At 49.9% G+C, this 27,426-nt stretch overlaps 1 protein-coding gene and 1 long non-coding RNA gene across 8 annotated transcripts in view, besides 7 other annotated features; one reads left to right on the top strand and one right to left on the bottom strand.

The window, feature by feature from the left end:
- On the bottom strand, positions 1-10,580 carry LOC124902686 (uncharacterized). 5 transcript variants are annotated; one of them, XR_007062710.1, is made up of 4 exons: positions 7,792-10,580; positions 5,229-5,346; positions 3,459-3,629; positions 1-1,894 (listed from the first exon to the last, which is right to left on the bottom strand). It is a non-coding gene; the product is annotated as an uncharacterized LOC124902686 (long non-coding RNA). The 5 variants fall into 5 exon arrangements; XR_007062711.1 differs by lacking the exon at positions 3,459-3,629; XR_007062709.1 differs by lacking the exon at positions 1-1,894 and having other exon boundaries at positions 3,001-3,614.
- Positions 6,178-6,679: an enhancer, noted in NCBI's record as "H3K4me1 hESC enhancer chr11:63948751-63949252 (GRCh37/hg19 assembly coordinates)". NCBI's record gives its function as "activates a minimal SCP1, AML or CMV promoter by ChIP-STARR-seq in naive H9 embryonic stem cells {active_cell/tissue: H9 hESC(naive)}" and the evidence as "EXISTENCE:reporter gene assay evidence [ECO:0000049][PMID:30033119]".
- Positions 6,504-6,553: an enhancer, noted in NCBI's record as "active region_4882". NCBI's record gives its function as "activates an Ori minimal core promoter by ATAC-STARR-seq in GM12878 lymphoblastoid cells {active_cell/tissue: GM12878}" and the evidence as "EXISTENCE:reporter gene assay evidence [ECO:0000049][PMID:35858748]".
- Positions 6,680-7,179: an enhancer, noted in NCBI's record as "H3K4me1 hESC enhancer chr11:63949253-63949752 (GRCh37/hg19 assembly coordinates)". NCBI's record gives its function as "activates a minimal SCP1, AML or CMV promoter by ChIP-STARR-seq in naive H9 embryonic stem cells {active_cell/tissue: H9 hESC(naive)}" and the evidence as "EXISTENCE:reporter gene assay evidence [ECO:0000049][PMID:30033119]".
- Positions 9,064-9,569: an enhancer, noted in NCBI's record as "H3K4me1 hESC enhancer chr11:63951637-63952142 (GRCh37/hg19 assembly coordinates)". NCBI's record gives its function as "activates a minimal SCP1, AML or CMV promoter by ChIP-STARR-seq in primed H9 embryonic stem cells {active_cell/tissue: H9 hESC(primed)}" and the evidence as "EXISTENCE:reporter gene assay evidence [ECO:0000049][PMID:30033119]".
- STIP1 (stress induced phosphoprotein 1) overlaps positions 10,171-27,426 on the top strand; it is a 19,272-nt gene continuing 2,016 nt past the window's right edge. The window contains exons 1-10 of one of the 3 annotated variants that reach the window (NM_001282652.2): positions 10,171-10,873; positions 17,977-18,186; positions 19,088-19,229; positions 19,378-19,519; positions 20,544-20,712; positions 22,170-22,296; positions 22,392-22,494; positions 22,753-22,873; positions 24,839-24,935; positions 25,068-25,192. In NM_001282652.2, coding sequence (NP_001269581.1) covers positions 10,724-10,873; positions 17,977-18,186; positions 19,088-19,229; positions 19,378-19,519; positions 20,544-20,712; positions 22,170-22,296; positions 22,392-22,494; positions 22,753-22,873; positions 24,839-24,935; positions 25,068-25,192 — 1,386 coding nt within the window. In that variant the 5' untranslated portion in view covers positions 10,171-10,723. Of the gene's footprint in view, positions 10,874-11,069; positions 11,170-17,976; positions 18,187-19,087; positions 19,230-19,377; positions 19,520-20,543; positions 20,713-22,169; positions 22,297-22,391; positions 22,495-22,752; positions 22,874-24,838; positions 24,936-25,067; positions 25,193-27,426 lie in introns of those variants that run through there. The other 2 variants (NM_006819.3, NM_001282653.2) reach the window with 2 other exon arrangements.
- Positions 10,193-10,262: an enhancer, noted in NCBI's record as "active region_4883". NCBI's record gives its function as "activates an Ori minimal core promoter by ATAC-STARR-seq in GM12878 lymphoblastoid cells {active_cell/tissue: GM12878}" and the evidence as "EXISTENCE:reporter gene assay evidence [ECO:0000049][PMID:35858748]".
- Positions 10,383-10,522: a silencer, noted in NCBI's record as "silent region_3461". NCBI's record gives its function as "represses an Ori minimal core promoter by ATAC-STARR-seq in GM12878 lymphoblastoid cells {active_cell/tissue: GM12878}" and the evidence as "EXISTENCE:reporter gene assay evidence [ECO:0000049][PMID:35858748]".
- Positions 11,223-11,282: a silencer, noted in NCBI's record as "silent region_3462". NCBI's record gives its function as "represses an Ori minimal core promoter by ATAC-STARR-seq in GM12878 lymphoblastoid cells {active_cell/tissue: GM12878}" and the evidence as "EXISTENCE:reporter gene assay evidence [ECO:0000049][PMID:35858748]".

A 27,426-nucleotide genomic window follows, 5' to 3' on the forward strand; every position in this document is an offset into this window, starting at 1 on the left:
TCCTTTAAAAGTAATGTTTATTGTAATAGATTTTAACAACATAGAAATAAAGTAAAAAGTGAAAGCCAGCAGGGTGCTGTGGCTCAGGCCTGGAATCACAGTACTTTAGGAGGCCAAGGCAGGAGGATCGCTTGAGCCTGGAAGTTCAAGACCAGCCTGGGAAACATAGTAGGACCCTGACTCCACAAAAAATATTGGCCGGGCGCGGTGGCTCACGCCTGTAATCCCAGCACCTTGGGAAGCTGAGGCGGGCAGACCATCTGAGGTCGGGAGTTCGAGAGCAGCCTGACCAACATGGAGAAACCCCGTCTCTACTAAAAATACAAAATTAGCCGGTCATGGTGGTGCATGCCTGTAATCCCAGCTACTTGGGAGGCTGAGGCAGGAGAATTCTTGAACCCGGAAGGCAGAGGTTGTGGTGAGCCAAGATCACGCTATTGCACTCTAGCCTGGGCAAAGATAGCTAAACTCCGTCTAAAAAAAATGAAAGTAAAAATATTAGCTGGGCGTGCTGGTGCACCTGTAGCCCCAGCTAATCTGGGGGCTGAGGCTGGAGAATCACTTGAACCCAGGAGTTCAAGAGTAGCCTGGGCAACATAGTGAGACCCTGTTTCTACAAAAAAAAAAAAAGTGAAAGCCCTTGTTATGGGCTGAATCATGTCTGCCTGAATTCCTATGTTGAAGCCCTAACCCCCAGTAGCTCAGAATGTGACTGTATTTGCATATAGGGCCTTTAAAGGGGTAATTAAGGCTGGGTGCAGTGGCTCACACCTATAATCCCATCACTTTGGGAGGCCGAGGCAGGTGTATCACCTGAGGTCAGGAGTTTGAGACCAGCCTGACCAACATGAAGAAACCCTGTCTCTACTAAAAAATACAAAAATTAGCTTGGTGTGGTGGTACACGCCTGTAATTCCAGCTACTTGGGAGGCTAAGGCTGGAGAATCACTTGAACCCGGGAGACAGAGGTTGCAGTGAGCTGAGATCGCGCCACTGCACTCAAGCCTGGGTGACAGAGCGAGACTCTGTCTCAAAAAAAGAAAGAAAAAAAAAGAGGTAATTAAGTTAAAATCAGGCCATTAGGGTGAGCCCTACTCCAGTCTGACTGGTGTCTTTTTTTTTTTTGAGATAGAGTCTTGCTCTGTTGCCCAGACTGGAGTGCAGTAGCATGATCTCAGCTGACTGCAACCTCTGCCTCCCAGGTTCAAGCAATTCTCCTGCCTCAGCCTCCCGAGTGGCTGGGACTACAGGCGCCTGCCACCACGCCCGGCTAATTTTTGTATTTTTAGTAGACACGGGATTTCACCATGTTGGCCAGGCTGGTCTCCAACTCCTGACCTCAAGTAATCCACCCGCCTCAACCTCCCAAAGTGCAGGGATTACAGGTATGAGCCACTGCGCCTGGCCTGACTGATATCCTTTTAAGAGGAAAGTTCGGGGCTGGGCGCAGTGGCTCACACCTGTAATCTCAACACTTTGGGAGGCCGAGATGGGTGGATCACTTGAGGTCAGGAGTTTGAGACCAGCCTGGCCAATATGGTGAAATCCCATCTCTATTAAAAATACAAAAATTAGCCAGGCATGGTGGCACATGCCTGTAATCCCAGCTACTCGGGAGGCTGAAGCGGGGGAATCACTTGAGCCCAGGAAGTGGAGGTTGCAGTGAGCTGAGATCACGCCACTGTACTCCAGTCTGGGTGGACTCCATCAGAAAAAAAAGGGGTGGGGGGGGGCGGAAAGTTGGACACACAAAGAGACATTAAGGATGCTGGAGTGCAGAGGAGGGACCACGTGAGGATGCAGGAAGAAGGCAGCCATCTGCAAGCCACGGGGAGAGGCCTCGGAGGAAACCACACCTGCTGATGCCTTGAACCTGGGCTTGCAGCCTCCAGAACTGTAAGAAAATACATTTCTGTTGTTTAAGCCACCCCATCTGTGGCATTCTGTTATGACAGCCCCAGCAAACTATCACAGCACACCGCCTCCCTGTTCCCAGTCCACAGAGGTAATTCCTGTAGCCACTGGCTGCGTATCGTAGATTTTTTCCCTGCATGTATAATCATATGTGAAGAGATACACACATAATTTTATTTTTACAAAAATAGGATTCAGCCATACACACTGTTCCACAACTACTATGCTTTTTTTTTTTTTTTTTTTTTTTAACTCACAACACTTCTGACACCAAATGTGTGGGTTTTTTTTTCCCACATCGACCAACTCTCCAACACCATCTGGGTGTCCTACAATTGAATCCATTCTGATACTATCAACCTGGAGTTGGCATCAGCTCCCACACGTTAAGGGCCCAGTCCCACAAGACTACCCCCACTTCAAACTCCAGGAGCAAGTCCTGGGTCCCCCATACTTCTGACATATGAATTGGGGGTTCCCATGACCCCCTCCTCAGGTTCAATAATTTGCTAGAACAGCTCACAGGAAAACAGTTTACTTTTTTTTTTTTTTTTTTTGAGACAGAGTGTCTCTGTCTGGAGTGCAGGAGTGCAGTGGTGCTCGCTGCAGCCTTGAACTCCTGGGCTCAAGCGATCCTCCAGCCTCAGCCTCCCAAGTAGCTGGGAGTACAGGCATGTGCCACTGCACCCAGCCTAACTTACTATTGCCGGTTTATCATAAAGGATAGAAGTTCAGGAACAGCCAGATGGAAGAGATGCATAGGACAAGGTGTGGAAGGCAGGATGCAGAGCCTCCAAGTGCTCTCTGATCACTCCACCCTCCCAGCACCTCCATGTGTTCTTCTCTGAACCCTGTCATTTAGTTGTTTTTTTTTTTTTTGAGATGGAGTTTTGCTCTGTCACCCAGGCTGGAGTGCAGTGGTGCAATCTTGGCTCACTGCAACCCCTGCCTCCCGCCCAGGTCAAGCGATTCTCCTGCCTCAGCCTCCTGAGCAGCTGGGGCTACAGGCGTGTGTCACCACATCCAGCTAATTTTTTGTATTTTTAGTAGAGACGGGGTTTCACCGTGTTAGCCAGGCTGGTCTTGAACTCCTGACCTCAGGTGATCCATCCGCCTCAGCCTCCTAAAGTGCTGGGATTACAGGCGTGAGCCACTATATCCGGCCTCATTTAGGAGTGTTAGGGCGGCTTCATTATACAGGTATAATTGATTAATTCTTGACCACTGGTAATTAACTCAATGTCCACCCCATCTCCCCTCCCCAGGGTTTGAACCCTCTAATCATTTACTGGGTTCCCCTTCTCCTGGCTACCACCCTCATGCGCCAAGAGTCACCTCATTAGCATAAATTTATGGTTGAAAGGGGCTCATTATGAGTAACAAAAGATGCTCCTCTCCCACCATCACTCAAGAAATTACAAGTGTTTCAGGAGCTCTGTGCCAGGAACTGGAAGTGAAACCCAAATATGCATACTTATATTCACAATATCACAACCACTAACTTTTTTCATTCTACCATATGTCCTTGCCATGTCAATATCTACCCAAATGTTGTTTCTTCACACTTGCCAATATCCCATCCTATGGAGGCAGCATCGTGTTTTCCAGTGTCCTCCATAGTTGGACTCAGGTGGTTTCCATCCCTTTTGCTGTCCCAGACAGTGCTGTGTGAGACGTCCTGTGCCACCAGGGTAGGGTCCCTGCGGGAGACATTCCTAAGAGCAGAATCACTTTTGTGTTTTCAATAGCTATTGCTAAGCGTACCTTCCTACGGGCGGTGTAGAAGAGGCACGTATCCCACCCACGTCCACACAGGCACACTCTCTACCACTTGGTATTTCTCAACAGAGGTGCTGGGAAGGAGACAGTGGGGTTGGGCCATTTGGATCTGAGGGGCTACAACAATTCGGCTCAGAAAAGAATAAGCAGAAAAGGGAGTGAGGAAGCCCAGAGGGAAGGTCCAAGGGACCTTCTGGGAAAGGCTGAGGGACCCCCAGGGCAGCGGAGGGTGACCAGTTCCATTGGCTCATTCAACAAACACTAAGCACTGACAATGCCCCGGGCTCTGCACTGGGGTCCAGCACATGGCAATGAAAGAAACGTCTTCCTCGTGGGAAGAAGTCGACACACAAAAGTCATTTCACAGAGTGCTTGGATCAGTGGGCTGGGGCGGCTGGAGAGGAGCAGATGCAACAAGCACTAGCATGACACTGGCTCATGAGAATTCCTGAGAATTTCTGCCATACGTGGCGAAGGGGAAAGTGCAGGAACAAATCCTTGGACATGACTGTTCTAGTTACCTACTGCTGTGGAACAAACTACCTTAAGCTACCTTGCTTTTCTGGCTGGGAACAATAGCAATTTAATTCCTTCTCAAGATTTTGTGGGTCAGGGCTCAGCTAGGTGATTCTTCTGCTCCATGTGGGCTTGACTAGGGTCACTCAGTGGGATTCGCTGGAGACTGGGCTGGGCTAGAGGGCCCAAGACAGCTTCCTTCATGTTACCTGGAGCCCGCACTATGTTGCGGAACAGTTGGCTTGCCACAAGGCTAGCGTGGGCTTCCCCACACCATGGTGGCCTCAGGGCACTCAGACTTCTTCAGTGGCAGCACAGGCTCCAAGGCAGTGTGTCCCAAGAAACAAGAAGTGGAAGCTGCCAGTTTTATAAGGCTTGGAAACTGCAAGATGTTATTTCTGTTGTATTCTATTGGTCAGAGTAGTCCCAACTCCATGGAATTCAAGGGGAGGGGACACAGACCTCCCACTTTGCAATGAGAGGGGTGTCAATGAATATGCACCATCTTTCATCTCTCTCAGTGACCCTTGACATCGTTCTCTTGCCATTGGGTGTCATATTATGTGCTGTGGTCAGTTGCAATCTGCTTGCCATGTAGCAGGCAGGTTTCACCCTTGAGCCTCAACCTCGGTGTGCAGGAACTGCTGTGTTTATATTAATATTTCTCTCCCTCAGCTCTATTGACATTTGGAGCCAAATAATTGTGATGGCTATTCTGTGCCTTGTAGGGTGTTTAGCAGCATCCTTGGCCACTACAGCATGTGCACACAAACACACACACACACTCAGTTATGACAACCCAAATGTCTCCAGACATTGCCAAATGACAGCTGGGGACACCCTAGCTGAAAACCATTGCCTCGGCCGGGCGCAGTGGCTCATGCCTATAATCTCAGCACTTTGGGAGGCCGAGGCGAGTGGATCACCTGAGGTCAGTAGTTCGAGACCAGCCTGGCCAACATGGAAATAACGCATCTCTACTAAAAATACAAAAATTAGCCAGGCATGGTGGCACATACCTGTAATCCCAGCTACTTGGGAGGCTGAGGCAGAAGAATTGCTTGAACCTGGGAGGCAGAGGTTGCAGAGAGCTGAGACTGCGCCACTTCACTCCAGACCGGGTGACAGAAAGAGACTCTGTCTCAAAAAAAAAAAAAAAAAAAGAAAGAAAGAAAAAAAACCATTGCCTTGGGATCACCTTGTTCTGACGTAAGCCTCTATCCTACTCAGCTGTGAGGAACTCATCCTGTTCCCAGTTCACATGGTCCTTAACCCTTGGGAAGGGCTCTGATCCACTGTGTGCCATGGCTGCTGCTGAGCTGGCCTCACCTCAGTGGTCCCCTGAAATACAGAGTCTCTCCTCCCGCCCCCTAACCCAACCCCACATCTTACAGAGGCTATATATGGCCTGCGTGCCTAGGCTGGGGGGGCCCCTTGCAGGGTGTCTAAGCACATTGTCACCTCTGACTCTGGGCATCTACCAGTCCAAGGAGCAACACTCCTTCCCCCTACACCCTGAGGGGGTCCCGGGGGTCTGCGTCCAGCTGACGGAATTAGCTGATGGACTGGATGCGGGCTGTGAAAGAGGATGAGTCGAGAATGCTTCCACAGTTTTCAGCCTGAGCCGCTGAAAGAATAATGATGCCATTGGCAAGAGGAAGTCAAGGGCAGGCGGGGTTGAGAGGGATATTGGGAATTATGATTTGAGCACCCCGGGAAGTCTGTCAGCCATCCACACGAAGATGTCCAGATGGCAGCTGGATAGATAAGTCTGGGACTGGGGGGTGAGATCTGTGCAGAGGACAGGTTTATGGGAGTCATCTGAGATGGCATTTATAGCCACAAGACTGGCTGGATCTCCCAGGGAGGGGGGTGTGGATAGCAAGGCCCAGGACTGGGCTCCAGGGTTCTCTGATTAATAATTATTAGATAATAATTATCATTTTATTCCTTGAAGCATCTGGCACAGTGCCTGGCTCTATACAAGTCCTCGGAATTGGACAGAACTCTACAGTACTTTATTTTCCCCACTAATAAGGATGCCAGTTCTATCTTTGCAGAAGAGCTACAAGTTAGGATCACTCAGTTAAGTAAGAAATTAAGAGATTTCTTAGGAGTTTCAAACAAAAATTCCAGGTCTACAGAGCCCCAATTCTGAGCTGCAGCCCTTCCCTAACCCCTACTCCCCACTTACACTGAGATCCAGCTCTCCTAGTTTTTCTGATATTGAGAAAACTTTAAAGTTGGGAATTTGCTCTGCTGAGACTCAGTCACCCTCGCTGTACCTTCAGTGCCACTGCTGCAGGAACTACGGCCTCCAAGCTGACTCCAGATACAGCCTCGCCATGCCTCTCCCTACCCTTGACTGCAGCAGCACTGAAATAGCAGCGTGAATCACTCTGGGACGTCACGTGATGCCCAGGCCAGGACGCAGCTGTGGTTGGTGCGCCTGTGTTCCAGGGACCTGGGAGGAGGGCCCTGGCCGGCCAGAGTGGCTGCCTCCCTGTCCTCCTCTGAGTCCACCAAGAGGCTTGGAGAAGACTGAGTTGGTGGAAGTTGTAAGAGCTAACACTTCTGGGTATTCAGAGGTGGCTTTACTGTAACACTAAAGCAGCTTAAACATCGGGGACCCCATTTGTGCTCCTTCTAAAGCCACACACCTCATTTTTTGTGTTTCTTTTCTCAAAGCGAGCTCTCAAATTGTCATAAGCTTCAGGTCTGACAAGACTCAAGGCCAACCCGGGAGGATTATATTGTTCAATCTGCATAGTAACCTTGGGAAGTCAAGGGCACTTTATCCCCCCTACCTTACAGACAAGGACACTTAGAGCACAAAAAAGCCTTCCTTAGATTTCTTGAAAATTCTGGGCCAGGGCCAGGCATGGTGGCTCACGCCTGTGTAATCCCAACACTTTGGCAGGCCAGGGCAGGTGGATCACTGGAGGTAATGAGTTTGAGACCAGCCTGGCCAACATGGTAAAACCCCATCTCTACTAAAAATACAAAAAAAAAAAAAAAATTAGCCAGGCGTAGTGGCGGGCATCTATAATCCCAGTTACTCGGGAGGCTGAGGCAGAATCGCTTGAACCTGGGAGGCAGAGGTTGCAGTGAGCTAAGATCGCGCTACTGCACTCCAGCCTGGATGACAGAGTGAGACTCTGTCCCCCACCCCCCCCCAAAAAAAGAGAATTCTGGGTTGGGCGCGGTGGCTCACGCCTGTAATCCCAGCACTTTGGGAGGCTGAGGCATGTGGATCATGAGGCCAGGAGTTCAAGACCAGCCTGGCCAAGATGGTGAAATCCTGTCTCTACTGAAAACACAAAAATTAGCCGGGCGTGGTGGTGGATGCCTGTAATCCCAGCTACTCTGGAGGCTGAGGCAGATAATTGCTTGGACCCAGGAGGTGGAGGTTGCAGTGAGCCGAGATTGCACCACTGAACTCCAGCCTGGGAGACAGAGCGAGACTCCATCTCAAAAAAAAAAAAAATTCTGAATTTGCCCTGGCCTCAGCACCTTTGCATCTTCTGTGCCCCCTAGGCTTCTCCTCGTCCCATCTCTGACAAGCCTTCACTAACCACTCACCTCTGGGAATGCTTTCCTTCCCTGCCTCCCAGGTCATCTCTCTGTGCCTTGCCTTTTGTGTTCTCTGTAGCACTCACTCTTAAGAATTATCATTTGTGCACCGATTTTGATTTAATAACTCCATGTAGTTCTTATTCCGTAGCCAGGCAGTTCTTTTTTTTTCTTTGGAGACCGAGTCTTGCTCTGTTGCCCAGGCTGGAGTGCAGTGGCGCAATCTTGGCTCACTGCAATCTCCACCTCCCAGGTTCAAGTGATTCTCCTGCCTCAGCCCCCCAAGTAGCTGGGACTAGAGGTGTGCACTACCATGCGTGGTTAGTTTTTGTATTTTTAGCAGAGATGAGGTTTCTCCATGTTGGCCAGGCTGGTCTTGAACTCCTGACCTTAGGCAATCCCCAGGCACTCTTCTTCACAAGTTCTAAGTGCTTTATAAACTATCAAATCATGTAATCCTCACAACCACTATGATGTCAACACTTTTTAATCCCCATTTGAAGATGGAGGCAACTGAAGTACAGAGAGGTTGTGCAAGTTGCTTAAAGTCACACAGCTGAGAGTTTAGGTATCATCTGTTTCAGTAGAAAAGGTTCCTGTGAGCAGAAGCTTCATCTGGAGCTGCCCTGGTCACTGCTACAGTCCTGCACCCAGAGCAGTGCAACACACTTTAAAAAAAGGTGTGTGGGAAATGGGACCTGGCTACGCAGAGATAAGCTGCTGGGGAGAAGATGGAAGGCCTGGAAAGGCCACTGCTGGTCAGGTGGGCAGCAGCGTGGTGGCCTTGAGACAGTGCCAAGAAGAAATGAAAGGTGTCCTTGACAGAATGGATGTAGATGAATAAGAGAGGCAGCCAAGGCCTCAGAGGAACCTTTGACCCCGCTTTCCTTCATGCTCCCTCCAAAATGCATCCAGAATCCAATTCCTGTCCCCTCCTCTGCTCCCATCCTGGCTCCCTGGGATTACTACCACAGCCTCCTAAGAGGTATCCCTGCTCTCACCCTCCCCTCTTCCTCCACACAGCAGCCAGAGGGATCCTGAGAAAACTAAAATCATGTCACTTCTCTGCTCAAAACCTGCCAATGTGTTCAGGAGTAGCAATGGCCTCTAACCTTGCAGGACCTGGCCCCTGCTTCCTCTCGGCAGCTGTGCCTCCTGCCATCCTGGCTACCCTGAGGCAGCTCCCACCCCAGGCCCTTTGCACTGGCTGTTCCATAGGCCTGCAAGGTTCCCCCCTACATTTCCATGGATCTCACTCCCTTGCTTTCTTCAAGTCTTTTCTCACCGTGCCCCACAATTGAAAATGCAAAACCGCTGGGCACGGTGGCTCACGTCTGTAATCCCAGCACTTTGGGAGGCCGAGGCGGGGGGGGGGGGGGATCACTTGAGGTCAGTAGTCTTGAGACCAGCCTGGTCAACATGGTGAAACCCCGCCTCTACTAAAAATAAAAAAATTAGCCGGGCGCGGTGGCGCACACATGTAATCCCAGCTAACTGGTAGGCTGAGGCAGGATAATTGCTTGAACCCAGGAGGCAGAGGTTGCAGGGAGCCGAGATTGCCCCACTGCACTCTAGCCTGGGAGACAGAGCGAGAGTTTAAGACCAGCCTGGACAACATGGCGAAATCCATCTATACAAAAAAAAAAACAAAAAAAAAAAACCCAGAAAAATTAGCTAGGCGTAATGGTGCTTGCCTGTAACCCCAGGTACTTGGGAGGCTGAGGTGGGAGGATGGCTTGAGCTCAGGAGGTTGAGGCTGCAATGAGCTGTGATGGCGCCACTGCACTCCAGCCTGGGAGACAGTGAGATTCGACTCCGTCTCAAAAAAAAAAAAAAAAAAAAAAAAAAAAAAGCAGGCGGTTAGATTGCACAGGCCCTGAACCCCATCCTAAAGCCTCCAGCACTTTCAAGTGAGGGATTACCAGGTTTGCGGATCTGCTGCAACTTGGCTGCAGTGTCCAAAATGGGTGGGGCAGGTGGAATTAAAGATGAGGCTGTGGAGACAAGCTACTGGCAGAGAGGACACACTTTAAACCCTGGGAAGATATCATTACCCAGAGAGGGGGAAGGATGAGGACACTGCAGAGCCCAACATCATCGCCAGACCCGAGTCATGCGGCTCCTTTGTTCCAGGAACCAAGGCTGACCCTAGAAGCAATAGCAGCATTTTCACTCCGCAGGTGCATCTCTTCCACGCTTTGGGGTGCCTGCCCTGCCTCCGACTTCTGGGGCTGGGATTTAAGGCCCTACCAGGGCACAGCTCGCCAGCTCACAGGCGGTCAACTACTGATTCAGTTCTTCGTCTCCTTCACTCCTTTACATCGGACTCACGAGGGCTGAGGGGCAGCTCCCTTTCGTTAAGTGCTTCCCGCGTGCTCAACACCGCACGAATTCCCCTCGGCCCTACAGGACCAAACGACCGGCGCGCTGAGAAAGGGTGTGCGGTTCCACTGAGGACGCCCAAGCGGGACAGCCGGGCCCGCCGCGGTGAGATCCCCGGCCTGTCCAGCCCAAGCCCAAGCGCCCTCGCGGTCACGTGGCATTTCCGGAACATTCAGAACCTAACAGCCAGGAGGCAGGAGGGCCGGGCCGAGGCCGGAGCGCTGGACAACGCGGGTAGCTGGCGCTCGAGGGACAGGCAGCTCCCACCGGCTAGGACCCCCATCCCGATGCGCGGGCGAAGGGCTGGGGCCCTGTGCCGCTGGCGATCCCGGGGACCGCCTGGAACTCGCGGCACTCGGGAGCGAGAGGGAAAGCAACCCAGAGGCCCCGCAGCCGCCGGCGACACAGCTACAGACCCCGACTGCAGCCGGTACTCCCATATATCAGGGGCGGGGCGAAACCCGGCCTTTTGAAGGGCAGCGATTTAAACCAATCAGCGCAAAGAGTTGGCAACCCTCCGCCCAATTGGAATCGCTCTCATTCTGAAGGCGGTTCCGACATGGAGTCCGGCAGCCCAATGGGAGAGGTGGAAATTTCCAGAACGATCAGAACCAATGGGCGCGGCCAGCGCGGCTACGATTGGCAGTGCAAAAGACCAATCCGTGTCGCAGAAGTTCGCTCCTCCCTCCATTCGTGGAGCCTGAGATGGGTGGGTTTATAGAGGAGCGCCCAATCCTGAGGTGCGGGGGAGGCAGGGTTGAGGGAATTACTCCCCGCTGTCCAATGAGAAGGAAGTGGAGATGATGGGCTGGACCTCAAGCCAATAGTAGAGCAGCACAGACATTCCCCCTAGAAGAACTCGACCAGTGAGCAGGCGAGGAAGGGGCGGGAGCCGGGGTCCCGGTAGCTTCTAGTAGGTTCCAGAAGGCGGCGCGTGCGGTTGGGAACGCGGAGCGGACGGATTCGATTCAACGGGGTTCCGGACCGCGCTGCGCTATGGAGCAGGTGAAGGGGGAGGGGCGGGCTGAGGCCCCGAGCCTGCTCGGGGACCGGCGGTGGCCAGGCCGCGGTAGGGGGGCGGGGCGGGCGCCGGATCCAGGAGACCGGAGCTCGGCGCTGGGGCCGGACGGGGCGGCGGCGGGGAGGTGAGGGCCGCGGGCGGCGGGCGGGAGCGGGATCTTTAGCGAGGCCGGCCGCGGGGAGCGCCCATCGCCCCCTGGTTGGGCGAGGAGGGCCCGGCGGAGGCCACAGCTTGGGTGAGTCCGGCCGGCGGCGGGAAGAGGGGTCGCGACCGGGCCCTGAAGGCGTCCCGAGGGGGCGGCTGCGGGCCATGTTGGGGAGGGTGCGGGCCGCAGGGGGCGGGGTGGAGGTGGGCCGGGGGCCGGGGTCCGCACCCGCGAGGTAGCCCTCCGGGAGATCTCAGACGGCCGACGGAGAAACCGCTCGGGACTTAGCCACGAGGAACTTGGACGGATCCAGGGAGCGGGGACGGGGATACACTGGGAGTAGCCGAGGATCTTAGCAGCCTGGGATGCAGTTGGGGCAAATGTTACTCTTCTACATCTGAGAAGGTCAGGGTGGGAGAGCGTTGAGCGGGGGTCTGAGGAGCGACAGACCGACTCTACCTGATGCGGGAAAGGGAAGGGTGCCGCAAAAGTCCTTGGGACGAATTCCATCTCTGACAGTGTTTTACAAATGTATTGCGGCCCCTCCCCCTCTTTTTGTATGCTTGTGTGTGTGATTGTCGAGTGACCGAGGACCAACACTTCCGAAAGGTGGGTCTGAAAGATGGGTTTCTGACGACCCGGGGGTGGTTGTAGACAATTTACAGAGATCAACCGCTGGAAGTTATGGGCCTCTACTGAGCATTTGAGGGGCCGAGTTTGAAGCGGTTGCTGCTTCCTTTCAGTGACTTGGTTATGTCCTCAGTAGCTTGCGGTTATGAAAGGCCTAGAGGTTTTGTTCGATTTGAAGCTGTCATTGAGCTGTAATGATTCATCGGAAGAAAAAGGACAAAACAACCTCCAAGAAACCTCTACCAACCTCCGAGAAATCATCCTCCCGCTCGGGAGTACTACTGTCTTCGCTCCGGGCCCATAACACTTGGGGGTGACAATTCTGAAACTATACCTGGTATCTGGTTCTTACTTCAGGGCCATAAAACTAAGATCGCCCACACTCTCCCCTTAAATAAGACATCTCGATGGACTAGTGACTACCATCCTTTTTTTGGTGTGAGCTACAGAGCTGAGCCTTTGGTCTCTTGTAGCAGTTGCTGCTTTAGGCAAAGCTCGAGCTTCCTTGCTGTATTAAAAAGAGTGGAAATGAAGTTAGTAAACTTTTTTGTGCCCATATAATATTTCAGTTGTATCTAGGGTTAAATGGGCTGTAGTATAGGTGAGGAAAAGATTTCTGGAATAAGACGTTGCTCTTTTACCTTTAAGAAAGGATCTGGGGCCGGGCACCGTGGCTCAGCCTGTAATCCCAGCACTTTGGGAGGCCGAGGCAGGCGGATCACGAGGTCAGGAGATCGAGACCATCCTGGCTAGCACAGTGAAACCCCGTCTCTACTAAAAATACAGAAGAAAAATTAGCCGGGCGTGGTGGCGGGAGCCTGTAGTCCCAGCTACTCGGGAGGCTGAGGCAGGAGAATGACGTGAACCCTGGGGGCAGCTTGCAGTGAGCCGAGATTGCGCCACTGCACTCCAGCCTGGGCCATAGAGCGAGACTCCGTCTCCCTCCAGCCTGGGCCACAGAGCGAGACTCCGTCTCAAAAAAAAAAAAAAAAAAAAGGATCTCGGCTGGGCGCAGTGGCTCACGCTTATAATCCTAGCACTTTGGGAGGCCAAGGTGGGCGAATCACCTGAGGTCAGGAGTTCTACACCAGCCTGGCCAACATGGTGAAACCCCCTCTCTACTAAAAGTACAAAAATTAGCGGGTCATGGCGCAGGCCTGTAATCCCAGCTATTGGAGAGGCTGAGATAGGAGAATTGCTTCAACCCGGGAGGCGTAGGTTGCAGTGAGCTGTGATCACGCCACTGCACTCTAGCCTGGGTGACAGAGTGAGACTCCATCTCAAAAAAAAAAAAAAAAGAAAAGAAACGATTTCTGTTACCAAATTTATTTTGTATTTTTTTTAGAGACAGGGTCTGGTTCTGTGGCCCAGGCTGAAGTGCCCTGGTGGGATCATAGCTCACTGCAGCCTCAAGTTCCTGGCCTCAAGCGATCCTCCTGCCTCACTCTCCTGAGTAGCTGGGCACACCACCACAACTGGCTAATTTTAACATTTTTTGTAGAGACGGGGCTCTTGCTGTTTCCCAGGCTGGTCTCGAATTTCTAGGCTCAAGCAATCCTCTAGCCTTGGCCTCCCACTTCATTAGCACTAGGATTACAGGCGTGAGTCACCTTGCCTGGTCTTAAAATGTTTGTTTTTAAATTACCACTACTGGTGATAGAAGTGTATGTACAGGTAGGTAGATGGTGAATGAATATTTGACTTAGGACAGCAAACTGGCATGGCAGCTGTACAGATGACCTGGCATTTAATCCCAGGTGTGTTTGAGCCCACCATCTGGAAGCCATTCCTGAAAACAAACACGATTTCTCTACCTTTTGTTTTCATTTTCAACTGTGAGGTTTGTATTTCAGTTTAGAAAATACTCAAGTTGGGCCGGGTGCAGTGGCTCACACTTGTAATCCCAGCACTTTGGGAGGCCGAGGTGGGCGGATCATGAGGTCAGGAGTTTGAGACCAACCTGTCCAGCATGGTGAAACCCCGTCTCTAGTAAAAATACAAAAGAAAAAAGAAAAACTGGGCCGGGCGTGCTGGCTCACGCCTGTAATCCCAACACTTTGGGAGGTTGAGGCGGGTGGATCACGAGGTCAGGAGCTCAAGACCAGCCTGGCCAATATGGTGAAACCCTGTCTCTATTAAAAATACAAAAATTAGCTGGATGTGGTGGCACGCGCCTGTAGTCCCGGCTACTTGGGAGGCTGAGGCAGGAGAATCGCTTGAACCCGGGAGGCGGACCTTGAAGTGAGCCGAGATTGCGCCACTGCACTCCAGACTGGGTAACAGCGAGACTCCGTCTCAAAAAAAAAAAATAAATAAATAAGCGGACATTGTGGTGCGCGCCTGTGGTCCCAGCTACGTGGGAGGCTGAGGCAGGACAATTGCTTGAACCTGGCTGGTCGAGGTTGCAGTGAGCCAAGATTGCGCCACTGCCCTCCAGCCTGAATGACAGCGAAACTGCATCTCCAAAAAAAAAAAGTTGGACAGATTTTGAATGTTCAGGCTTTTTTTTTTCAATAGGGGCCTTTCAAATCCCACAATGATACACTTCTTACATTTAACCCAACACAGGCGTACAGCCATGTAACACATTCAGCAAAACAGTATTTACTGTTATGTGCACTGTGTGCTGGTATTTTTTTGTCCCATTTGGTCTCTTAAAATGCTGGTCATGACCTACAAAATTGATTTCCTGACCCACTGTTGATCAGTACTCTGTTTGAAAAATGCTTTTCTAAAGCATAGGCAGGAACTTCACCAGCTGCCTCTTGACACCACTTGAGTTTTGTTAACTCTTCGTCTTCTGGCCTCCATCTTGGGCTCTAGGATTTTTTATCCCTTGTTTGCTTAATTTGGCAGGTTCCTTCTGCCCTTGCCTCTGTAAGGTCTCTGATTGATGGAAGTTCCTGATCTCTCTATTTGAGGATTCCAAAATCATTTCTCTCTTTTTTTTTTTTTTCCAAATAGAGTCTCACTCTGTCCTCCAGGTGAGAATGCAGTGGTGCAATCTCGGCTCACTGCAGCCTCCGACTCCCAGGTTCAGATGATTCTCCTGCCTCAGCCTGCTGAGTAGCTGGGACTACAGGCATGCACCACCACATCCGGGCAATTTATTTATTTATTTATTTTTTTGAGACTGAGTTTCGCTCTTGTTGCCCAGGCTGGAGTGCAATGACGCAATCTCAGCTTACTGCAACCTCCGCCTCCCAGGTTCTAGCAATTTTCCTGCCTCAGCCTCCCAAGTAGCTGGGATTACAGGCATGCACCACCACGCCCGGCTAATTTTTTTTGTATTTTTAGTAGAGACGGGGTTTCTCCATGTTGAGGCTGGTCTCGAACTCCTGACCTCAGGTGATCTGCCCACCTTGGCCTCCCAAAGTGCTGGGATTACAGGCGTGAGCCACTGCACCCGGCAGCAGCTAATTTTTGTATTTGTAGTAGAGACGGGGTTTCACCATGTTGGCCAGGCTGGTCTCGAACTCCTGACCTCAGTTAATCTACCCGCCTCAGCTTCCCAAAGTGCTGAGATTACAGCCTAAAATCATTTCTCTTGACAAAACTATTTCTTGCATCAATTTACTGGGTCGTGGGTGGATAATACATAGAATGAGTTAGTAACTTCGGTGACAACTCTATCTCACAGAACGTTTACCTCTTAAAAGTGTATTTTGGCCTGGTGTGGTGGTTCACCTTTGGGAGACTGAGGCAGGAGGGTTGCTTTAGGCCAAGAGTTTGAGACAAGCCTGGGCAATATGGTGAGACACCATTTCTACCACAAAAAGAAAAAAACATTTAGCCAGGCATGGTGACACACACTTGTAGTCCCAGCTACTTAAAAGGCTGAGTTGGCCGGGCGCAGTGGCTCATACCAGTAATCCCAGCACTTTGGGAGGCCAAGGCAGGCAGATCACCTGAGGCCAGGAGTTCAAGACCAGCCTGACCAACATGGAGAAACCCCGTCTCTACTAAAAATACAAAATTAGACGGATGTGGTAGTGCGTGTCTGTAATCCCAGCTACTCAGGAGGCTGAGGCAGGAGAATCGCTTGAACCTGGGAGGCAGAGGTTGTGGTGAGGCAAGATTGTGCTATTGCACTCCAGCCTGGGCAACCAGAGTGAAACTCTGTCTCAAAAAAAAAAAAAAAAAAGGGCTGAGTCAGGAGGATTGCTTGAGCCCAGGAGCTCAAGGTTACAGTCAGCTGTGATCATGCCACTGCACTCCAGGCTGGTAACAGAGTGAGATGCCATCTTTAAAAAAAAATAAATATGGCCAGGCGCGGTGGCTCACGCCTGTAATCCCAGCACTTTGGGAGGCTGAGATGGGTGGATTAAGAGGTCAGGAGTTCGAGACCAGCCTGGCCAACATGGTGAAACTCCATCTCTACTAAAAATACAAAAATTAGCTGGGCGTGGTGGCGGGTGACTGTAATCCCAGCTACTCAGGAGGCTGAGGCAGGAGAATCGCTTGAACCTAGGAGGCGGAGGTTGCCGTGAGGCAAGATTGTGCCACTACACTCCAGTCTGGGGACAGAGCAAGACTCTGTCTCAAAAAATAATAATAATAAATACAATGAGCTTCTCAAGGGGTTGCCTGCCCTCAGGTAGGCTGCTGTGGGGCACCTGACCTTTTGTGGGGCAGCTCAGTAAGGAGAAACCCTTTAGTGAGGACACTGTTCTGACAGGGCCAAGGCCTGCCTCACTTTTTTTTTTTTTTTAATGAAAAAGTAAAATTTAATGTGGAAAATGCAAACTTGGGGAGGGCAGAAAGATCACACACAAGGCTGTCACTTCACACTTGGAGGGTTGCACAGTGGCCCAACAGAGGCACACCTCACTTGCCAGACGGTGGGGCAGGTGGGCAGAGGTGCTCCTCTCTCCCCAGTCAGTTGGGTGGCCGGGCAGAGGCGCTCCTCACTTCCCAGTCGGTGGGGCGGCCAGGCAGAGCTGCCTCACTTTTTAAAACTGCTGTATCCCACCGGGCGCGGTGGCTCACACCTGTAATCCCAGCACTTTGGGAGGCCAAGGCGTGTGGATCACCTGAGGTCAGGAGTTTTAAGACCAGCCTGACCAATATGGTGAAACCCCGTCTCTACTAAAATTACAAAAATTAGCCAAGTGTGGGGGTGTGCGCCTGTAGTCCCAGCTACTTGGGAGGCTGAGGCAGGAGAATCGCTTGAACCTGGGAGGCGGAGGTTGCAGTGAGCCGAGATCGTGCCACTGCACTCCAGCCTGGGTGACAGAGTGAGACTCTGTCTCAAAAAACACAACAAAACAAAACCCCGCTGTATCCTTACTTCTTGCACTTTATATGTTTGAGAAGGGAGAGGTTTAAACCACAGTAGCATTTCTTCATCCTCCATCCCCTTTGTAATGTAATATTTAAGAATGGCAGGAATCAATTTGGGGAGCTAGCTTGACTGTTACCCATTAATGAACATTTATCTATCCTGTGGTGACATGTTGCCACACCAGGAAATGGAGACTGGTTCTTCCCTGATGGGAGGAGATGACAACTATGCCATAGGCAAGCATCTTGCCGCTCCCAAGAAAGAGAAGTCTCCGCTGCCATCCCACAGCCTTTGGGTCACTGGAGCATGTATCAGTGCCACTCCGCCCACCTTCTTCCTGTGAGGGGTGACTAGGGCTGTGCTCTGTTTGTCATTTGGATGCTTTGGAAATCTGTGGCAAATGAATTGACTTTTCCATGGAAGGAGCATGTGGCACATTCTGGAGTGGCTTCGTGAGCTCCATGTGGAGACCGGAAGAGTGGCAGAGCCCTCGTTCGTCACATGGGGGCCAGCGTGGAGTGCAGCCTGGGCTCTTTGCCCCTGCTTATTTTTTCTTTGCTGGCTCCTTAGGGAAGGTGTGAGAAATTAAATAAATGAACCGGTTTTCTCTCTTCTGATCTGTAAAGTCACCTATTTATTTGTTGGTAACTACATGAAAGAATGAGTGTTGTCTTTAAAGCTTGGGATTAAATGGGCACATCATAGAGAAGCTGTGTGTTCCTTTCCCCTCAGGTCAATGAGCTGAAGGAGAAAGGCAACAAGGCCCTGAGCGTGGGTAACATCGATGATGCCTTACAGTGCTACTCCGAAGCTATTAAGCTGGATCCCCACAACCACGTGCTGTACAGCAACCGTTCTGCTGCCTATGCCAAGAAAGGAGACTACCAGAAGGCTTATGAGGATGGCTGCAAGACTGTCGACCTAAAGCCTGACTGGGGCAAGGTCAGCTGTGGGCAGTGGAGGGAGAGAGGCCCTTCAGACCCTTCCAGAAATGCCTTTTGGTGGCCTGAGGTTTACCTGTCCTGATACACTGATAGTTACCTACCCACCTCCCTGTTTGAGTATCCTCCTCAGAAATGGCATTTTTCATCAAATCTAAGGTAGCCATTAGTTGTAATACAGGCTTTATTTTTGGTACTAAGAAGGAAGAGGCCAGGGCTGGGCGCGGTGACGCACGCCTGTGATCCCAACACTTTGGGAGGCTGAGGTGGGCGGATCACTTGAGGTCAGGAGTTCAAGACCAGCCTGGCCAACATGGTGAAACCCTGTCTGTACTAAAAATGCAAAAAAATTTAGCCAGGCATGGTGGCATGTGCTTGTAGTCCCATCTACTCAGGAGACTAAGGCAGGAGGATCACCTGAGCCTGGCAAGCGGAGGTTGCAGTGAGCTGAAATCGTGCCACTGCATCCAGCCCAGGTGACACGGCAAGACCCTGTCTCAAAAAAAAAGGAAGAGGCCCGGTACAGTGGCTCACGCCTATAATCCCAGCACTTTGGGAGGTTGAGGCAGGAGGATTACTGGAGCCCAAAGGTTTGGGACCAGCCTGGGTAACATAAGGAGTCCCTGTCTTTACCAAAAAAATAAGGGAAAAAGTGTTGCCAAAGAAACTGACCACAGTCGATCAGAGGTGAACAAGGCGGGGCGGATGTGCCTCTGCTATTTGGATGGATCCTTACAGTAGCAGCCTTGGCCTCGTAGCCTACTCCTCTCCTTTTTTTCTCTTTGGCCTTCATGTGAATACTCATTTTTCCCCCATAAAAGTAGAATTGTTCTTTTTTGAGTTCGTCTTCTAGATTTACCTCTGGGTGTTCTCTATTTTGTGTCTGTCTTTGGTGGTTTAAGGGCTATTCACGAAAAGCAGCAGCTCTAGAGTTCTTAAACCGCTTTGAAGAAGCCAAGCGAACCTATGAGGAGGGCTTAAAACACGAGGCAAATAACCCTCAACTGAAAGAGGGTTTACAGAATATGGAGGCCAGGTTGGCAGGTAGGTACCACGCACAGTTTTCTTTCTTATTATTAATGTGATTAATTTTGAGTCTTCACCCCTGAGAAATGTCAGTCTGGTAGGGTATGGGACACAGTAATTCTAGTGAACTCATTTCATAGTGATGTGCTTTCCTTTATTTGGACAGAGAGAAAATTCATGAACCCTTTCAACATGCCTAATCTGTATCAGAAGTTGGAGAGTGATCCCAGGACAAGGACACTACTCAGTGATCCTACCTACCGGGAGCTGATAGAGCAGCTACGAAACAAGCCTTCTGACCTGGGCACGTAAGTGGACGCCGCTCACTGAGGTTCTGGAAATCGGGGAATGTTATGCTTTCTTCCTGTAACCTCACAGCAGAGGGTTCCCTGGTCTAAACTGCAGAGTTTTTGCCTTTGCTTATTCTCTGCAGAGCAGTAGGTGGTGGTCGTTTATTTGTAATTATAGAAAGGGTCAGGGGAGCATATTTCACAGTAATCTAGAATGTTCTTTGTCATCTGTATACACCTCTCTCCTGCTCTTCTAGAACTCTGATCTAGCGTCAACCCCATCCTTTCCATCTACTTAGGCCCTACTTTCTCTGTTGGTATATCAGAGTGGAAACAGGGTTGAAGTTCATGTGTAAAGATGTGTCTAAATCTTGTACTGGTATTCATCTCTATCAATCCTCTGGCTCCTGAGATCAGCTACGGAAGTATACCTAAAACAACTCATTCCTCTGTGTATCTGCTAACCTTGAGGAATAAACTTGACCTCTGTGACTTCATTTTATTTTATTTTATTTTATTTTATTTTTTCAAGATGGAGTCTCGCTCTGTCCCCTAGGCTGGAGTGCAGTGGTGTGATCTCAGTTCGCTGCAACTTCCACCTCCTGGGTTCAAGCGATTCTCCTGCCTCAGCCTCCTGAGTAGCTGGGATTACAGGTGTACGCCACCACGCCCAGCTAATTTTTGTATGTTTAGTAGTAGCGGTGGGTTTCACCATGTTGGCTAGGCTGGTCTCAAACTCCTGACCTCAAGTGGTCTGCCCGCCTCGGCCTCCCAAAGTGCTGGGATTACAGGTGTGAGCCACCGTGCTCCGCTATCTGTGACTTCATTTTATTTGTTTTTGTTGACTCTATTTTAGATAGTGTTTTGACGGTTTGAGTATTTCTCAATTGTAACTCATGAGTGGTGCAAAATCTAGCCATCTTTTGATGGGTGAGGAGCTTCTAAACACAAGAATCTGACTTTAGTAGTAAGTGGGAGTTAAAAGACTAATTGTGGGGAGGAGTAATTACAATTTTTCTTTATTTTTTTAAATCAATACTAGGAAACTACAAGATCCCCGGATCATGACCACTCTCAGCGTCCTCCTTGGGGTCGATCTGGGCAGTATGGATGAGGAGGAAGAGATTGCAACACCTCCACCACCACCCCCTCCCAAAAAGGAGACCAAGCCAGAGCCAATGGAAGAAGATCTTCCAGAGAATAAGAAGCAGGTCTTGTTTTTTTCTCTCCTCACTGTCACCTATCTATAAACAACTAGAAATCTTTATGTTGAATGGGGACATCTGTTGACCTTGATTGACCATGATTATTATGGTTTTTTTAGAGACGGAGTCTTGCTGTGTTTCCCAGGTTGGTCTTGAACTTCTGGCCTCAAGCGATGCTCCTGCTTCAGCTAGGATTACAGTCACGAGCCACTGTGCCCACCTAAAACTATTTTGAGTGCTTTAGTATGCGCTAAGCTTATGGCTATTATTCATTAGAATGGCCAGCATGTTAAAAAATCAGCTTCAGGCCAGGCACGGTGGCTCATGCCTATAATCCCAGCACTTTTGGAGGCCAAGGTGGGCAGATCACCTGAGGTCAGGAGTTCAAGACCAGTCTGGCCAACATGGTGAAACCTCATCTTCACTAAAAACACAAAAATTAGCCAGGTGTCATGGTGGGCGCCTGTAGTCCCAGCTACTCGGGAGGCTGAGGCAGAAGAATCGCTTGAACTCGGGAGGCAGAGGTTGCAATAAGCTGAGAGCTCATCACTACACTCCAGGCTGGGTGACAGAGCGAGACTCCATCTCAAAAAAAAAAAAAAAAAAAGCTTCACAAGAGCATTCCTAGGAGTAATGTGTAGCAAAGAGTGAGCTGCGGGAGTTGCCCTTCCCGTGGTCACCACAGCGGCTTCATTGCTGCCAGTGTGAATGTTGGTCCTAGCAAGACTGGAAAGTTGAGAGTAATTCACGTCCTTGTCGTGATCCGAAGAATGTTGTCCACATCAATCCCTAGGCCTTTGCTTCCTGGCTGGACATGGTGTGTGGTTGGGAGTGTCCGCTAAGCAGCACTCTTTTAGAGCAGAAGGCATGTGCCTCAACGATTTCATTTCCCTCCTTGTAAACTGGAACAGCAGATTGTTGCCAAATTTAGCACCTTGAAATGGGTAAGCGTTGGTTGTTTAGGGTGTCTCAGCTGGAAAAAGGCCCTCCAGTGTGGGCGGTAGTGAGCTTTGCTGAAGACTCGTGCCACTCAGCCGCTTCTCATCCTCTCACCACCCCCTCTGCTATGGTTCCCTGACAACTAAGACCCTGAGGCAACCACAAGACTGACACCAGATCTGCTGCAGCCTCAGAATAAAGCCTGGTCCAAAACTCTGCTGTCCTCACCGGTTGCTTCAAGTCGAAGGGATTTCCTCTCCCCTAAAGAAGCGCTCTGCTTCCTGACAAAGATCTAGGAGAGTAGGTGGAAAAGGGGGAGTTTCAGAGCAAGCAAAGATGAAGTTAGTTTTCATTCTAACGGCTGATACTTTATTGTCTATAGCTGACTGATGAAGAGGCCTTCAGGAGAACTTGATAGAATTCTATTCATGTTAGTTGCATTTCAGAACTTGTGACAGATCATAGATTCTTGCTTTGTCACCTGAGTTAGATTTGCTCAGCACTCACTTCTAAACCTCATCTAGGCACTGAAAGAAAAAGAGCTGGGGAACGATGCCTACAAGAAGAAAGACTTTGACACAGCCTTGAAGCATTACGACAAAGCCAAGGAGCTGGACCCCACTAACATGACTTACATTACCAATCAAGCAGGTGAGGCCCAGAAACAAGGGGCAAGGGAATTGTTGGGTGTCTCTGAGGGAGGAAGCAAAGACTGACTGTTCCTTCTTAACCATCCTGCCTGGCAGCGGTATACTTTGAAAAGGGCGACTACAATAAGTGCCGGGAGCTTTGTGAGAAGGCCATTGAAGTGGGGAGAGAAAACCGAGAAGACTATCGACAGATTGCCAAGTAGGCTCAACCTTCCAGAATACCTTGAGTAGCGCGGAGGGTTTGCTGTCCAAGACTTAAGTTTCTCTGCATGGGGAGGAGGGCTGCTGGCCATAGAATCTGCTGTGTTAAGAAAGGGCTGGCAAGAAGGTCACCAGAGACAAGACAAAAGGTGTTGAAGGCAGTGATGCGGGCCTTTCTAGCTGCAGGTGTGTTTTTCTGCAGGAGCTGACTTTATCTCTCTGTCCTAAGCAGTCCTTGTCCCTCTTTCTTTATCAGAGCATATGCTCGAATTGGCAACTCCTACTTCAAAGAAGAAAAGTACAAGGATGCCATCCATTTCTATAACAAGTCTCTGGCAGAGCACCGAACCCCAGATGTGCTCAAGAAATGCCAGCAGGTGCGTAGGAAAAGAATAGGGGTATTTTCTTGTTTTCCTAATAATTGAGCCATTGTTTCTTACTGTTTTATTTAATAATGAACTTGACTTTTTTTTTTTTTTGAGATAGGGTCTCACTCTTTCACCCAGGCTGAAAGACAGTGGCACAATCGTGGCTCACTGCAGCCTCAACCTCCTGGGCTTCAGTGATCTTCCCACCTCAGCCTGAGTAGCTAGGATTACAGGCACGTGCCACCACGTCCAGCTAATTTTTTTTTTGAGATGGAGTCTGTTTGTCACCCAGGCTGGAGTGCAGTGGCATGGTGTCTGCTCACTGCAACCTCCGCCTCCCAGGTTCAAGCAATTCTCCTGCCTCAGCCTCCCGAATTGCTAAGACTACAGGTGCACGCCACTATGCCCGGCTAATTTTTGTATTTTTAGTAGAGATGGGGTTTCATTATATGGACCAGGCTGGTCTCAAACTCCTGACCTCATGATCCACCCACCTCAACCTCCCAAAGTCCTGGGATTACAGGCCACTGCGCCTGGCCACGTCCAGCTAATTTTTTTATTTGTAGAGAAGGGGTCTCACTGTGTTGCCCAGGTTGGTCTTGAACTCCTGAACTCAAGTGATCCGCCCTCCTCAGCCTCCCAAAGTGCTGGAATTATAGGCGTAAGCCACTATGCCTGGCTGAACCTGATCTTTTTTTAGGTAGTGGCTTTGGTCATCTTACATGATTCTTTCTCTGTCATTTAACAGTGACAACATGTAGGAAGTGATCTGGTGTTTTTTTTTGTGGTTTTTTTTTTTTTTTTTTTGCAGTTTTTGGTATTGGCCAAGATTTCAACCCTAAATGTGTTAATATTGAGGGCCTGTGCATTGAGAATGTTAATAGTTCTTGTAACATAACATTTTGACTATTTTATAAAGACTGTAAATTTCTTTTAAAATCTTGCCAGCAATAGCCGGGTGCAGTGGCTCACGCCTGTAATCCCAGCACTTTGGGAGGCTGAGGTGGGTGGATCACAAGGTCAGGAGTTCAAGACCAGCCTGGCCAGGATGGTGAAACCCCGTCTCTACTAAAAATACGAAAAAATTAGCTGGGCGCAGTGGCAGGCGCCTGTAATCCCAATTACTCAGGAGGATGAGGCAGGAGAATCGCTTGAACTCAGTGGGGCGGAGGTTGCAGTGAGCCGAGATCATGCCACTGCACTCCAGCCTGGGTGAGAGTGAGACTCCATCTCAAAAAAAAAAATCTTGCCAGCAATAGCCAGTCGCAGTGGCTCACGCCTGCGATCCCAGCACTTTGGGAGGCCGAGGTGGGCGGATCAAGAGGTCAGGAGATCGAGACCATCCTGGCTAACACGGTGAAACTCTGTCTCTACTAAATAAATAAAAAAAATTAGCCTGGTATGGTGGTGGGCGCCTGCAGTCCCAGCTACTCGGGAGGCTGAGGCAGGAGAATGGCGTTGAACCCGGGAGGCAGAGCTTGCAGTGAGCCGAGATCGCGCCACTGCACTCCAGCCTGGGCGACAGAGCGAGACTCTATCTCAAAAAAAAAAAAGAAAAAAATCTTGCCAGCAATACTCTGAAAATTAAAATCCTAATCTGATTTTTTTTTTTTTTGAGATGGAGTCTCGCTCTGTCACCCAGGCTGGAGTGCAGTGGCGCGATCTCGGCTCACTGCAAGCTTCCGCCTCCCGGGTTCACGCCATTCTCCTGCCTCAGTCTCCCGAGTAGCTGGGACTACAGGCTCCCGCCACCACACCAGGCTAATTTTTTATATTTTTAGTAGAGACAGGGTTTCACCATGTTAGCCAGGATGGTCTCGATCTCCTGACCTCGTGATCCACCCGCCTCGGCCTCCCAAAGTGCTGGGATCACAGGCGTGAGCCACCGCGCCCGGCCCCTAATGTGATTTTTAAGCCCAATATTTAGATGATTATGAGCGTTTAAATTATTATTTCAAGAATTATGTTTTGTAGGCAGAGAAAATCCTGAAGGAGCAAGAGCGGCTGGCCTACATAAACCCCGACCTGGCTTTGGAGGAGAAGAACAAAGGCAACGAGTGTTTTCAGAAAGGTACTGCCTGCAGCTGGGGGATTGGGGGAGCAGTGCTGGGTGTGCCTCCCGTGCCTGGCTGTGGGGTAAATGGCCGGCTACACATGGGGGCTTTTTGCTTTTTAAAAGACAGTCTTTGTTTTTCTTCCCCAGGGGACTATCCCCAGGCCATGAAGCATTATACAGAAGCCATCAAAAGGAACCCGAAAGATGCCAAATTATACAGCAATCGAGCTGCCTGCTACACCAAACTCCTGGAGTTCCAGCTGGCACTCAAGGTGACGAGACCTGTGGGGGCGGCCATTACTGAAAGCCTGCACATGAGGAGTGGGTTTTCTCTCTCTCTCCTCATCAACATTGAGTTGATGATGATCATGATGTTTGAGACAGTGTCTCACTCTGTCCTGCCTCAGCCTCCTGAGGAGCTAGGACCACAGGCTCATGCCTCCACATCCTGCTACATTTTTTATTTTTTTTGTAGAGTTGGGGTCTTGCTGTGTTGCCCAGATTTATAGGGGTGTGTGTGTGTATGTGTGTGTGCGTGTGTAAAATATGGGACCTGTATCTAACTGGTCGTGTGTGTGTGTGTGTGTGTGTGTGTGTGTGTGTGTGTAAAATATGGGACCTGTATCTATCTAACTGGTCCTGGTCCATGGAGTCACTACTGGTTGGCAGTACATTGGAAGGTGGGTCCTTTCACCCCTGTAACCTTCCTCTTTTTTCTTTGTTTTTGCCTTTTTAACCATTTTTAAGAAGTGGAATTGCTGGGTCATGTGGTGTCTGTGTTTACTTTTTTTGTTGGTTTGTTTGAGACAGTCTCACTCAGCTGCCCACACTGGAGTGCCGTGGCACAATCTCGGCTCACTGCAACCACCATCTCCCGGGTATTTTAGTAGAAACGGGGTTTTACCATGTTGGCCAGGCTGGCCTTGAATTCCTGACTTCAGGTGATCCACCCGCCTCAGCCTCCCAAAGTGCTAGGATTACAAGCGTGAACCACCACGCTTGGCCCCCTTTTTTTAAAAAAAAAAAAAAAAAAAGACAAGGTCTGGCTCTATCGCCCAGGCTGGCTGGAGTACAGTGGCACAATCTCAGCTCACTGCAACCTCTACTTCCCTGGCTTAAACCATCCTCCCACCTCAGCCTCCTGAGTAGCTGGGACTACAGGTGTGCACCACTGTACCCAGCTAATTTTTGTATTTTTTATAGAGACAGGGTTTCACCATGTTTTCCCAGGCTGGTCTCAAACTCCTGGGCTCAAGCGAGCCTCCTGCCTTGGACTCCCAAAGTGCTGGGATTACAGGCATGAGCCACTGCGCCCGGCCTATGTTTTATTTTTGAGGAACCACCATATGTTTTTCAGCAGCTGTACCATCCTTGCTTGCTTTTCTGTTTTGCTCAGCTAGGTAGGTCTGCTGTTCTCAGTCATATCAAGTTAGGTCAAATACAATTGTTTGACACTGTGGAGTTCCCATAATCCTCTCGAATCTCAGCCACCCTGCCTCTATCAGCAGTTTTTTTTGACTGTTCTCTAGCTGACAAACCTGGACCGTATTGTGGGAAGGTGACAAAGTGTGACCTGTCTAGAAACAGCCATACCTGGGTTTGTGTTGGTTTTTATATTTTGTGCCACTGTCTTCTGGGTCTGTGTCTTGGCCTAGAGACATCATTTCTACTAGTAGGATTGTGCAAGAGTCATGTCAAAAGCATATTGATTTGTGAGGCAAAGAATAGCAGGTTGTCAATCACCTGGGAGGTGGGCAGTACTTTCCCGATCATGAGAGCGTGGAGAAAGAATGAATGGGATTTCTGCTGCTGTCCCAGCTTCTTGGTGCAAGAGTTGGAATTAATTCCAGGGGAGCTCAGTGTACTGCATAGTGTTCTCTTCCTCATCATTTCTCACTTTGAAGATGTTTCAAAGAGAAGAATACATAGTGAATATCTGGTGTATCTTCCACCTTTATCTGACAAATGTTGACCTGTTTTTGCTGAACTGTTTGCGAAAGGAAATTGTATACATTTGGTACTTAGAATGAGACATCCAAGTCTTGTGCACGCATTGCCTGAAAAGACTCCTGTCCAGTGCAGCACTGTCAGCACACGCGACCTCACCAGACCAAGGCCTGATGCCATCTGCCGTCTGTCCATCCATACTTAGACTTGCCCACTTCTCCAAAAATATGTTTTAAAACTGAGGTTTTTTTATTTTTGTTTGTTTGTTTTTATTTTTTTTTGAGACAGAGTTTCACTCTTGTTGCCCAGGCTGGAGTGCAATGGCGTGATCTTGGCTCACTGCAACCTCTGCCTCCTGGATTCAAGCGATTCTCTTGCCTCAGTCTCTTGAGTAGCTGGGATTATTACAGGTGCAGCCACCAGGCCAGCAAATTTTTTTTTTTTTTTTTTTTTTTTTTTAGTAGAGATGGGGTTTCACCATGTTGGCCAGGCTGGTGTCAAACTCCTGACCTCAGGTGATCCACCCACCTTGGCCTTCCAGAGTGCTGGGATTACAGGC

The sequence above is a fragment of the Homo sapiens genome, chromosome 11 (assembly GCF_000001405.40).
Source record: "Homo sapiens chromosome 11, GRCh38.p14 Primary Assembly".
Classification (NCBI taxonomy): Eukaryota; Metazoa; Chordata; class Mammalia; order Primates; family Hominidae; genus Homo; species Homo sapiens.